The 13,859-nt window shown below is 42.9% G+C and overlaps 1 annotated feature.

Annotated features, from left to right (window-relative positions):
• Positions 1,597 to 2,269: an enhancer, noted in NCBI's record as "OCT4-NANOG hESC enhancer chr11:122702884-122703556 (GRCh37/hg19 assembly coordinates)". NCBI's record gives its function as "activates a minimal SCP1, AML or CMV promoter by ChIP-STARR-seq in naive and primed H9 embryonic stem cells {active_cell/tissue: H9 hESC(naive and primed)}" and the evidence as "EXISTENCE:reporter gene assay evidence [ECO:0000049][PMID:30033119]".

Here is a 13,859-nt window from a genome sequence, read left to right as displayed (position 1 = left end):
CGAAAAAACCTACTATTGTGAACCTGGGCTTTCGTGAGGGTAGAAACTTTATTTACTCTAGTGAAATAGATCATTCTGAAAACAACCCAAATATGAGCTGATTTCAGAAGGCAATTGTGGTTTCGGAGAGTATACCACAGGATAGCAAGGGCCAGCTTCAGGCCCCAGCTCATGGAGCTCTGCCCAGATAAGTGACCAGCCCTGGCGTCTTCATCTATAAATGAGATTAGATGAAAGTTGTGGTTTCCAAACTGTATTCTGAAGAACCCAAGTATCCCCAAGACACCTCAGGCTTCTGCAATATTTTCATTGAAGTTTCTTTTAAAAAACATTTTCCATGATTAGTCCAGGCTCTGGAACCAGGCTGACATGGTCCTGGTCTCAGCCCTAACACTCATGAGCCGTGTGACTGTGTGTGAATTATTGAATCTTTCTAAGATTCAACTTCCTCTTTCATAAATCGGGAATAATAGTTTCTACCGAATAGAGTTGGTGAGAAGATTTAAAAAGCTTACACATGTGAAGTACTTAGAAAAGTGTCTGATAAATACAAGCACTCAAATGCTAGCTGTTACTTTGCTGGCCACTGGATGCCACCAATCTATGAATTGTTATGTCAGGTAAAATAGTTTTGATGCTGGATTCTGTGGATTTAGAATAAAATCCAAATGTTTCACCGTGGTCTATGATGAGATCAACCCACTTTTTCTGCAAGGGGCCAAGTATAAACATTTAAAATAGTTTTACTTCTCAACTCTGCCCTTGTATCCTGGAATAGCCATAGGCAATATGTAAATAAGTGAATGAGGCTGTGTTCCAATAAAATTTTATTTATATATACTGGAACTCTAATTTCATATATCAATCTCTTTATTCTTTGCTTTTTCCCCCAAAGATTTGAAAAGCTAAAAATCATTCTTAGCCTGCAGCTGTACAGGCAGGCTGTGGGCCAGATTCTGCTCACGAGTGAGATTCTGCACAATGAGCAATACTTTGCTGACCCCTGGTCTGTAAGACCCCATGTCTTTATAAGCCCCCCACTTTCTATCATGCTTACTACACTTTAGCTCCCCAGCCTCTTCTGTTCTAACCCAGCTAGTGTCTTCCCATGTGAGGGCTTCTGTATACACAGCTTCCTGATACCCTCCTCGTTTAGGTCTTCAGCCCAACCAGCTCCTGCTCAGTTTTAACTGTTGGTTTCATCATCACCTGTTCAGGGACGCCATGCCCTAACTAAGAGTGTAACCCCTGCCCCACATCCCTTCAAAGTTACTTTCTATCATATTACCCAGTTTATTTCCTAAAGAGCATTTATCAAAATCTGTAATTATCTTGTTTATTTATGTATTCATTCTCTGTCTCCCACTCCATCAGAGCAGGGGCCTTGCATTCTTTTTTGCCACTATAGCTCCAGCCTGCCACTCTGCTGGAAATAGTGTTCAATAAGTATTACAGAATGATGAATGAATCCACAAGCTCAGTATCTTAGTTTCATTCATTGAGTTGATAATACCTGATCTCCTTACTTTGTAAAATTGTTATGAGGATCAAATGAGGAAGTGTTTTTTTTTTTAATTATAAAGAGTTATACGAAGGGAAGTGGTAAATCATTAAGGCAACTTTCATGCGTGTCTGTGTGAAGAGACCACTAAACAGGCTTTGTGTGAGCAATAAAGCTTTTAATCACCTGGGTGCAGGCGGGCTGAGTCCGAAAAGAGAGGCAGCAAAGGGAGATAAGTGTGGGGCCGTTTTATAGGATTTGGGTAGATAAAAGAAAATTACAGTCAAAAGTGGGTGTTCTCTGGCGGGCAGAGTGGGGGTCACAAGGTGCTCAGTGGGGGAGCTTTTGAGCCAGGATGAGCCAGGAGAAGGAATTTCACAAGACAATGTCATCAGTTAAGGCAGGAACAGGCCATTTTCACTTCTTTTATGCTGGAATGTCATCAATTAAGGCAGGAACTGGCCATCTGGATGTGTATGTGCAGGTCACAGGGGATATGATGACTTAGCTTGGGTTCAGAGGCCTGACATTCCTGTCTTCTTATATTAATAAGAAAAATAAAACGAAATAGTGGTAAAGTGTTGGGACGGTGAAAATTTTGGGGGGTGGTATGGAGAGAGAGAATGGGCGATGTTTCTCAGAGCTGCTTCGAGCGGGATTAGGGGCGGCGTGGGAACCTAGAGTGGGAGAGATTAAGCTGAAGGAAGATTTTGTGGTAAGGGGTGATATTGTGGGGTTGTTAGAAGGAATATTTATCATTTAGAATTATTGATGATGGCCTGGATACAGTTCTGTATGAATTGAAAAACTAAATGGAATAAGAGAAGGAGAAAAACAGGTATAAAAGGTCTAAGAATTGGGACGACTCAGGACATCTGATTAGAGAGAGCCTAAGGAGATTCAGCATAGTCCTGCCAGCAAAGATTATTTATTTACTTCAAGAGTTAAGAGTGGCAGTTTGGGGATAGCACCAGGAGATATCAGCTGTGATGGCTTGGAGAAACAGTGTAAACCGGCAGTGTAAACAAGAGCAGGGCATGTATGAGTAGTTGAGAATGGTGAATAGGAGTATGACTAGAGAGAAGATAGTAGGGATGACAAGTTTTTTGGGGGCACAGTCTAAGTTGGTCTGGTGTCTGGAATGAGACTGGGGCCTAATAAAAAGGAGTGTCTATACAGGAGCTCAAATGGGCTGTACCTTGTAGCATTCTGAGGACAGGTCTGACTTCTGAGAAGGTAAAGTGGTAAAAGTATTGTCCAGTCCTTTTTAAGTTGGTGGCTGAGCTTGGTGAGGTGTGTTTTTAAAAGACCTTTAGTCCGTTCTACTTTTCCTGAAGACGGAGAACCGTAAGGGATATAAAGGTTTCACTGAATACCAAGAGCCTGAAAACCTGCTTGGCTGATTTGACTAATAAAGGCTGGTCTGTTATCAGACTGTATAGAGGTGGGAAGGCTAAACTGAGGAATTATGTCTGACAGAAGGGAAGAAATGACTGCGGTGGCCTTCTCAGACCCTGTAGGAAAGGACTGTACTTAACTAGTGAAAGTGTCTACCTAGACTAAGAGGTATTTTAGTTATCTGACTCGGGGCATGTTGAGTAAAGCTAATTTGCTAGTCCTGGGTTGGGGCAAATCCTCGAGCTTGATGTGTAGGGAAGGGAGGGGGCCTGAGTAATCCCTGAGGGATAGTAGAATAGCAGATGGAACACTGAGAAGTTATTTCCTTGAGGATAGATTTCCACGATGGAAAGGAAATGAGAGGTTCTAAGAGGCAGGCTAGTGGCTTGTACTATAGCATAGCCTGCCTTTGCTGGTGTGTGGCAATTAGGCCTGGTGGAACCGCCATCAATAAATCAAGCGTGATCAGGGTGAGGAACAGGAAAGAAGGAAATATGGGGAAATGGGGTGAATGTCAGGTGGATCAGAGAGATACAGTCATGGGGGTCAGGTGTGGTATCAGGAATAACGTGGGAGGCTGGATTGAAGTCCAGGCCAGGAACAATGGTAATTGTGGGACTTAACAAAGAGTGAGTACAGCTGAAGGAGCCGGGGAGCAGAAAGCATATGCATCAGGTATGAGGAAGAAAATAGATTTTGGAAGTTATGAGAAATGTAGAGAGTGAATTGAGCATAGTTTGTGATTTTTAGGGCCTCTAAAAGTATTAAAGCAGCGGCAGCTGCTGCACACAGACATGAGGGCTAGGCTAAAACAGTAAGGTCAAGTTGTTTGGACAGGAAGGCTACAGGGTGCGGTCCTGGCTCTTGTGTAAGAATTCTGACCACGCTAACCATGCCTAGGAAGGAAAGGAGTTGTTGTTTTGTAAGGGATTGAGGTTTGGGAGATTAATCGGACACGGTCAGCAGGGAAAGCACGTGTGTTTTTATGAGAATTATGCCGAGATAGGTAACAGATGAGGATGAAATTTGGGCTTGACTGAAGTAATGGGGGCTGTCTGTGAAGCCTTGCGGCAGTACAGCCTAGGTAATTTGCTGAGCCTGATGGGTGTCAGGGTCAGTCCAAGTGAAAGCGAAGAGAGGCTGGGATGAAGGGTGCAAAGGAATAGTAAAGAAAGCATGTTTGAGATCCAGAACAGAATAATGGGTTGTGGAGGGAGGTATTGAGGATAGGAGAGTATATGGATTTGGCACCACGGGGTGGATAGGCAAAACAGTTTGGTTGATAAAGCGCAGATCCTGAACTAACCTGTAAGGCTTGTCTGGTTCTAGGACAGGTAAAATGGGGGAATTATAAGGAGAGTTTATAGGCTTTAAAAGGCCATGCTGTAGCAGGCGAGTGATAACAGTCTTTAATCTTTTTAAATCGTGCTGTGGAATGGAATCTTGGCATTGAGAGGAGTAAAGGTGATTAGGTTTTAATGAGATGGTAAGGGGTGCGTGACCGGTCGCCAAGGAGGGAGTAGAGGTATCCTATACTTGGGGGTTAAGGTTGGGGGATACAAGAGGAGGATGCAAAGGAGGCTTTGGATTGGGAAGAAGGGCGGCAATGAGATGTAGCTGTAATCCAGGAATAGTCAGGGAAGCAGATAATTAAGTTAAAGTGTCTCAGCCTAATAAGGGAACTGGGCAGGTGGGGATAACTAAAAAGGAGTGCTTAAAAGAGTATCGTCTAAGTTGGCACTAGAGTTGGGGAGTTTTAAGAGGTTTAGAAGCCTGGCTGTCAATACCTACAACAGTTATGGAGGCAAGGGAAACACGCCTTTGAAAAGAAGGTAATGTGGAGTGGGTAGCCTCCGTATTGACTAAGAAAGGGACGGACTTACCTTCTACTGTGAGAGTTACTTAGTGTCTGTGTTGGTCCTGTAGGCTTCTGAGGCGATCAGGCGGTGTCAGTCTTCAGCTGCTAAGCCGAGAAGATCTGGGAAGGAGTCAGAGAGCCTTGGGCCAGAGTTCCAGGGGCTCTGGGAGTGGTTGCCAAGTGAGTTGAACATTCTGATTTCCAGTGGGGTCCTGCACAGATGGGATGTGGCTTAGGAGGAATCCTGGGCTGTGGGCATTCCTTGGCCTGGTGGTCAGATTTCTGGCACTTGTAGGAAGCTCCTGGGGGAGGAGGTTCTGGAGGAATGCCTGGCCGCTGTGGTTCAGGCGTTTGGAAGTTCTTGTTTGCTGGAGATGTGGCTGGGGTTTGTCTTACAGTGGAGGCAAGGAATTGCAACTTTTTTCTATTATTGTATACTTTGAAGGTGAGGTTAATTAAATCTTATTGTGGGGTTTGAGGGCTGGAATTTAATTTTTGGAGTTTTATTTAATGTCAGGAGCAGATTGGGTAATAAAATGTATATTGAGAATAAGACAGCCTTTTGACCTTTTAGGGTCTAGGACTGTAAAGCGTCTCAGGGTTGCTGCCAAACAAGCCATGAACTGGGCTGGGTTTTTTTTTTTTTTTTAATACTTTAAGTTTTAGGGTACATGTGCACATTGTGCAGGTTAGTTACATATGTATACATGTGCCATGCTGATGCGCTGCACCCACCAACTCGTCATCGAGCATTAGGTATATCTCCCAATGCTATCCCTCCGCCCTCCCCCCACCCCACAACAGTCCCCAGAGTGTGATGTTCCCCTTCCTGTGTCCATGTGATCTCATTGTTCAGTTCCCACCTATGAGTGAGAATATGTGGTATTTGGTTTTTTGTTCTTGTGATAGTTTACTGAGAATGATGATTTCCAATTTCATCCATGTCCCTACAAAGGACATGAACTCATCATTTTTTATGGCTGCATAGTATTCCATGGTGTATATGTGCCACATTTTCTTAATCCAGTCTATCATTGTTGGACATTTGGGTTGGTTCCAAGTCTTTGCTATTGTGAATAATGCCGCAATAAACATACGTGTGCATGTGTCTTTATAGCAGCATGATTTATAGTCCTTTGGGTATATACCCAGAAATGGGATGGCTGGGTCAAATGGTATTTCTAGTTCTAGATCCCTGAGGAATCGCCACACTGTCTTCCACAATGGTTGAACTAGTTTACAGTCCCACCAACAGTGTAAAAGTGTTCCTATTTCTCCACATCCTCTCCAGCACCTGTTGTTTCCTGACTTTTTAATGATTGCCATTCTAACTGGTATGAGATTGTATCTCATTGTGGTTTTGATTTGCATTTCTCTGATGGCCAGTGATGGTGAGCATTTTTTCATGTATTTTTTGGCTGCATAAATGTCTTCTTTTGAGAAGTGTCTGTTCATGTCCTTCGCCCACTTTTTGATGGGGTTGTTTTTTTCTTGTAAATTTGTTTGAGTTCATTGTAGATTCTGGATATTAGCCCTTTGTCACATGAGTAGGTTGCGAAAATTTTCTCCCATTTTGTAGGTTGCCTGTTCACCCTGATGGTAGTTTCTTTTGCTGTGCAGAAGCTCTTTAGTTTAATTAGATCCCATTTGTCAATTTTGTCTTTTGTTGCCGTTGCTTTTGGTGTTTTAGACATGAAGTCCTTGCCCATGCCTATGTCCTGAATGGTAATGCCTAGGTTTTCTTCTAGGGTTTTTATGGTTTTAGGTCTAACGTTTAAGTCTTTAATCCATCTTGAATTAATTTTTGTATAAGGTGTAAGGAAGGGATCCAGTTTCAGCTTTCTACATATGGCTAGCCAGTTTTCCCAGCACCATTGATTAAATAGGGAATCCTTTCCCCATTGCTTGTTTTTCTCAGGTTTGTCAAAGATCAGATAGTTGTAGATATGCGGCGTTATTTCTGAGGGCTCTGTTCTGTTCCATTGATCTATATCTCTGTTTTGGTACCAGTACCATGCTGTTTTGGTTACTGTAGCCTTGTAGTATAGTTTGAAGTCAGGTAGCGTGATGCCTCCAGCTTTGTTCTTTTGGCTTAGGATTGACTTGGCGATGCAGGCTCTTTTTTGGTTCCATATGAACTTTAAAGTAGTTTTTTCCAATTCTGTGAAGAAAGGCATTGGTAGCTTGATGGGGATGGCATTGAATCTGTAAATTACCTTGGGCAGTATGGCCATTTTCACAATATTGATTCTTCCTACCTGTGAGCATGGAATGTTCTTCCGTTTGTTTGTATCATCTTTTATTTCCTTGAGCAGTGGTTTGTAGTTCTCCTTGAAGAGGTCCTTCACATCCCTTGTAAGTTGGATTCCTAGGTATTTTATTCTCTTTGAAGCAATTGTGAATGGGAGTTCACTCATGATTTGGCTCTCTGTTTGTCTGTTGTTGGTGTATAGGAATGCTTGTGATTTTTGCACATTGATTTTGTATCCTGAGACTTTGCTGAAGTTGCTTATCAGCTTAAGGAGATTTTGGGCTGAGACAGTGGGGTTTTCTAGATATACAATCATGTCATCTGCAAACAGGGACAATTTGACTTCCTCTTTTCCTAATTGAATACCCTTTATTTCCTTCTCCTGCCTAATTGCCCTGGCCAGAACTTCCAACACTATGTTGAATAGGAGTGGTGAGAGAGGGCATCCCTGTCTTGTGCCAGTTTTCAAAGGGAATGCTTCCAGTTTTTGCCCATTCAGTATGATATTGGCTGTGGGTTTGTCATAGATAGCTCTTATTATTTGGAAATACGTCCCATCAATACCTAATTTATTGAGAGTTTTTAGCATGAAGGGTTGTTGAATTTTGTCAAAGGCCTTTTCTGCATCTATTGAGATAATCATGTGGTTTTTGTCTTTGGCTCTGTTTATATGCTGGATTACATTTATTGATTTGCGTATATTGAACCAGCCTTGCATCCCAGGGATGAAGCCCACTTGATCATGGTGGATAAGCTTTTTGATGTGCTGCTGGATTCGTTTTGCCAGTATTTTATTGAGGATTTTTGCATCAATGTTCATCAAGGACATTGGTCTAAAATTCTCTTTTTTGGTTGTGTCTTTGCCCATGGGCTGGGTTTTTTACATTTGATGAAAGAGCCTAAACGCTTACTGATTTGGGAGAGGTCTGATGAAGAAAAAGGAGCATTAACTTTGACTATGCCTTTAGCTTCAGCCAGCTTTTTAAGAGGAAATTGCTAGGCAGGTGGGTGAGGGCTACTCACAGAATGAAACTGTAAACCTGACCGGGTGTGAGGAGGGGAGGTGATAAAAAGATTATAGAGTGGAGGAGCGGAGGCTGAGGAAGAATTGGGACTTAGCTCGGCCTGGCGAGGAGCAGCCTGGGGAGGAGGGGAGAGGTCAGATGGATCTGTAGAAAGGGAAGATTAGAAAGACTCAGCAACGCTTGGGGTTGGGACTGAGGGGACAGGTGGGAGGGAAAGAAGGAAGATTTGGGACAAGTTGCACTGGGCACAGAGACTAGGGAGGGACCGATGTGTAAAAGAATGCCTGGATGTCAGGCACCTCAGACCATTTGCCTATTTTTTGACAAAAATTATTTAGGTCTTGTAGGATGGAGAAATCGAAAGTGCCATTTTCTGGCCATTTAGAACTACTGTCGAGTTTGTATTGGGGTCAAGCGGCATTGTAGAAGAAAATAAGGCATTTAGGTTTTAGGTCAGGTGAGAGTTGAAGAGGTTTTATGTTCTTAAGAACACAGGCTAAGGGAGAAGAAAGAAGGAGGAATGGAGGGTGGAAGGTTGCCTATAGTGAAGGAGGCAAGTTTAAGGAAAAGGGAGAGTAGAGACACAGAGGGAAGTGGTTTGGGGGTTCTTACCTTCCAGAGAAGCAGGAAAGGGGTCAGGGCACAGAGATACGAGGTTGGGGCACAGAAATAAGGTATCAGGGTGCAGAGATATAAGAGGTTGGGGCATGGAAATAAGGGATCGGGGCACAGAGATATAAGAGGTTGGAGCGCAGAAATAAGGGATCAGGGCACAGAGATACAAGGTTGGGGTACTTGCCCCTCCCCCAGAAATGTGGGACTTCCTGCTAAGGGTGAAGGAGAAGGGTTTGGGGGTTTCTTGCCCTCCAGAAAGGCAGAGAAGGGGTAGAGACACAGAGAGAAGGGGTTGGGGGTTTCTTGCCCTCCAGAAAGGCGGAGAAGGGGTAGAGACACAGAGAGAAGGGGTTGGGGTACCTGCCCCTCCCCTGGAAAAGCGGGACTTGCCACTAAGAGTGAAGGAGAAGGGGTTGGGGGTTTCTTGCCCCCCAGAAAGGCAGAGAAGGGGTAGAGACACAGAGAGAAGGGGTTGGGAAACTTGCCCCTCCTCCAGAAAAGCAGGACTTGCCACTAAGGGTGAAAGACCAAGGCAGGCATCCCTGCGTGGTCTGACACCTCTGAAACATGGGTGAATAATCAGAGAGGCATCCCTGCAATGATTAAACACCAAGGGAAGGCTGCCTTTCCTAGTCCATGACCGGCGCCGGAGTTTTGGGTCCATGGACAAAACGTGTCTCCTTTGTCTCTACCAGAAAATTGAAGGAATTGAAATTAAAAGAAGGGAGAGATTGAAGTGTGGCACCAAGATTGAAAGGAGAAAGAGGTTGAGGGATAGTGAGGGAGGTTGGAGAAGAGAGTAAAAAGAGGCCGCTTACTGGATTTGAAATTGGTGAGATGTTTCTTGGGCTGGTCGGTCTGAGGACTTGAGGTTGTAGGTGGACCTTTCTCACAGAGCAAAGAGCAGGAGGACAGGGGATTGATCTCCCAAGGGAGGTCCCCCAATCTGAGTCACGGCACCAAATTTCATGCGCGTCTGTTTGAAGAGACCACTAAACAGGCTTTGTGTGAGCAATAAAGCTTTTAATCACCTGGGTGCAGGTGGGCTGAGTCTGAAAAGAAAGTCAGCGAAGGGAGATAAGGGTGGGGTCGTTTTATAGGATTTGGGTAGATAAAGGAAAATTACAGTCAAAGGGGGTTGTTCTCTGGTGGGCAGAGTGGGGGTCACAAGGTGCTCAGTAGGGGAGCTTTTGAGCCAGGATGAGCCAGGAGAAGGAATTTCACAAGATAATGTCATCAGTTAAGGCAGGAACAGGCCATTTTCACTTCTTTTGTAGTGGAATATCACCAGTTAAGGCAGGAACCGGCCATCTGGGTATGTATGTGCACAGGGGATATGATGTCTTAGCTTGGGCTCAGAGGCCTGACAGCAACATCTTAGACAAGCTACAGAATTCAACCAACACATCAATTTTTACCATTCTTATTGTGACTCAGAGAACAATACTCCAAAATATGGTGCTGAACACTTTTGAATTAAAGAAACTGGGAAGATGTGAGAAGCTGCCTCAGCACCAAGGGCTTTCTAACCTTCTCTTGCTTTTCTCCCCCAAGTCCAGAGAGGGGCTCTCTCTGGAAGTTCCTTTCAAAAGAAATGCAATTTGTCTTAAGACTCCTTTGGGCCGGGCACAGTGGCTCACACCTTTGAGACCAGCCTGGCCCATATGGTGAAACCCCATCTCTACTAAAAATACAAAAATTAGCTGGGCGTGGTGGTGGGTGCCTGTAATCCCAGCTACTCAGGAGGCTGAGGCAGGAGAAACACTTGAACTTGGGAGGCGGAGGTTGCAGGGAGCTGAGATCATGCCTTTGTACTCCAGCCTGGGCATTGCAGCGAGACTCCATTTCAAAAAATAATAATAATAAAAGAACTCCTCTGTAAGTATCTCATCAAATAACCAGGCAAGATTAACCACCACAGAAGAGGTTAAAAATTGTTACCACACCCAGACAGACTTTTCATCTATTATTCTAAGGACAGCTCTGAGAGATGACCTCGGAGACTTCATCTGCATAATAAGGCAACCTTTGTTTGCAGTGCAGTTCTGCCCCTCACCTTTCCATAACTTATTGGTCCCATTTTGTTTCAAAAGAGAATCAGTTATAAACTATTATTGGCTCTTTGTGCCCATTTAATTCTCCTGAAAATCACTTACCACCCCTCAAAATCGCTTACACTGTCATTTCTCTCTTTCCTATAAAGAGAGTATTTAAGCCTCAACAATCTGGCCGTTCTTAGAGTTGTATATTTGCGGAACTCCTATGTCTGAGGTGAGTTCATTTGCATGCCTTTCCTCCTGTTAATCTGTGTATTGTCCATTTGTTTAGCACACTTGAACTTTCAGAGGAGGTGGGAAGTTCTCTTTGCTTTACAGATTTGGCACAACTGGCAGGATACTAAAACTGCTCTGCTCCTCTGGAAGCTACAATTGAGAGAACCTAGGACCTGATGAAGCTGGGAAAAGGTTAGGAAATTCTTATCAGGCAGTCCTATGGATCTTTACCTATGGGATCCAGTTGAGCAGACAGTAAGAGTCACCTCTTGTCTCTTTTTCTTTTCCAAAATTAAAATAACAGGAGAATTTTTTTTAAATTAGTGCTTTGAATCTGTGACTCTTGTAGACTTATCTTAGGCTTATTGATTATTGATCTATAAACTCCTATAAATGGTCTTTGTTCTTCTTGCTTTTGTATTTGGTGTGGTTTGTCATAAGGAGGAAAACCATAATAAGATTATCTTTTTGTCTTGTTTTTATGTCTTGAGAAACTTGGCTTTGTAATCAGCGAATTTATTCTCAGGTGCTACCTCAAAGGGAATAAATTATCAGGTTTATGCCAGGCAGGCAGCCAGTTGGCTGAGAGTCCAAAATGTCCGTTTATCTGAATGTGCCAGCTCTCAAGAAAATTTGTCTTAATTGTCTTAAACTTCATTGTCTTATTAACAATGAGGATCTTTGCTGTCTTAGGCTATCTTTGAAAGAGACTTTAGATCTTGAGAGGGACTGCATGTATCCTCCATAAAACTCAGTTCTTACATTTATTGGTTTTAAGTTATAAAAATTCTTACTGATTTTGAGTCACAATTGAGGCAGGAATACCTTTAGAGGTTTGGAAGCTATTTGTATGACTCTGGACACTCCTTAATGATCCTCCCCCTGCTGTAACTGTCTGATGGGTTCTTCTGCCTGCTGCACAAATAAAGACCATGACATTGCAATAAAGCAAGAGTTGAATTGATGTCAGGCTGGCCAGGCATGCCAGCATGGGAGATGGAGTTACTACTCAAATCAATCTCCTCTAAAATTTGGAGACTGGGGTTTTAAAGAATGATTTGGTGAGTAGTGAGTCAGAAGGTAGGCAGTGCTGATTGGTTGGGTTGGAGATGAAATCACAGGGAGTTGAAACTGTTTTCTTGTGCTAGTAGTTAGTTCCTGGGTGGAGGCCACAAGATCAGATGAGCCATTTTATCAATCTTGGTGGCATCAGCTGGTGTATCGGAATATGGGGAGTGCAAAAAACAAAACAAAACAAAACAAAAAGCTCAAGTACTGATTTCAAGTTTTACAACAGTGACTCCTAAACCATAATTTCTAATCCTGTGGCTAATTTGTTAGTCCTGCAAAGGTAGTCTAGTTTCCAGACAAAAAGGGAGTTTGTTTTGGGAAAGGCTGTTATCATCTTAGCTTCAAAGTCAAACTATAAACTAAGTTCCTCCCAAAGTTAGTTCACCCTACATCCAGGGATGAGCAAGGGCAGTCTGGAGGTTAGAAACCAGATGGAGTCAGTTAGGTCAGATCTCTTTCACTGTAATAATTTTCTCAGTAATTTTTGCAAAGGCAGTTTCAGTCTCTCTCTTTGGGTTTTATAACACCTTATTCTTAAGATGTGGGCTATGAAGATGGAAAAAGCACAATGACCACTCTAGCTTTTTCTTGCTGACATGTGGCATGATGGGAGTAGGAGCTGACTCCAAGGTAAGAGGAGTGGAACTGCCTTGCAGCTGTCTGCACACACTCAGGGTGCCTAATCGGGGTTTCAAGGCTTGCATGACAAAGGCATTAGTATTCTTCTCTATCGTTTTAGCACAGCATTTAAATGAGCTATAAAGTAAATAATGAGTTCTAGGGTAAGGAGTGAGAGTCCTAGCTTCAGAAGCCTTTGTGGAACTGATCTGAAGCTCTGAGGGATCCAGGTGAATAGCGCGAAGAATCAATCAGAAATGGGGTCTGTAGTAGAGAGATATTTGGGTCAGAGGTTATTAGAAAGACTGATTAGGATAGACAGGAAAGGGCAAATTTAAATATACCAACCCATATATTTTTAATTGGTTTCCTAGTCCTGAGACTAGATCAGTTCAGTTAAATAGCTGTTTACCATATCAGGAAGTGGCAGTGCAGATGGGCTAGGCTTCTGTATGTGATGACAGCAAACAAGCTTTTAATAGGAGGCATTTCTGTGGAAACAGAAGAAAAACAAAGGTTAATGTTGGGCATAATTTATTGAAACATTAGACTCAAAGCATCTTTAGTTATAGAGGAGGAAGGCAGTGGCAATCTGACATGTTTTTCTTGCCTGTACCACAAGGAATAAGCTTCAGCTTTCAGGGCCTCAGGGAAGATATAGCAGCAATTTCACTGAGTTCAAGTCAGAAAAATGAAAGAAAGATTTGAAAACATTAGTTTTGGGACCTGTAACCCAGAAAGAATTCAGGAATCAGTCTAAATTGCAGAAAATAATAAAAACTCAAAAGCAGTGGACAAGACTAGAATCTAACAACAGAGGTACTATAGCTTTCTCTGAAATACAGTTTGTCTCTCTCCAGTCCCCATTTTTATTAAAAACAAATTTGCTTGCAAAATAAGTGTTAGTCTTATCATACTTGGCATGAATATTTGCATAAAGTCAGCAAGAATAATTATTTGCCATATAGGCTTTTTTGAAAATTGACTTTAATGGAACTTTATTCCATAAGGAATTTCAGCTTAGATTTTTCAAAGCCTTGAGCCCAGCCATGGATTTATCTGTGCCTGCAAATATCAGTATGACCCTTGGGTGAATTCCTCTCCTTGAGGTTCCAAGATAACTTGGGGCTCCTGGGCTTGTCAGAAAGTGATATTGTTCACTTACCACAGATCGAGAACCCTGGACAGGGACTGCATAGAAAAGGTTTAAGGCCAGTGTTTACCAGGGGTTTTCTTGGCCCTATAAGTC

Source organism: Homo sapiens, chromosome 11 (genome assembly GCF_000001405.40).
Source record: "Homo sapiens chromosome 11, GRCh38.p14 Primary Assembly".
NCBI classification, from domain to species: Eukaryota; Metazoa; Chordata; class Mammalia; order Primates; family Hominidae; genus Homo; species Homo sapiens.
This window is presented reverse-complemented; position numbering and strand designations above follow the sequence as displayed.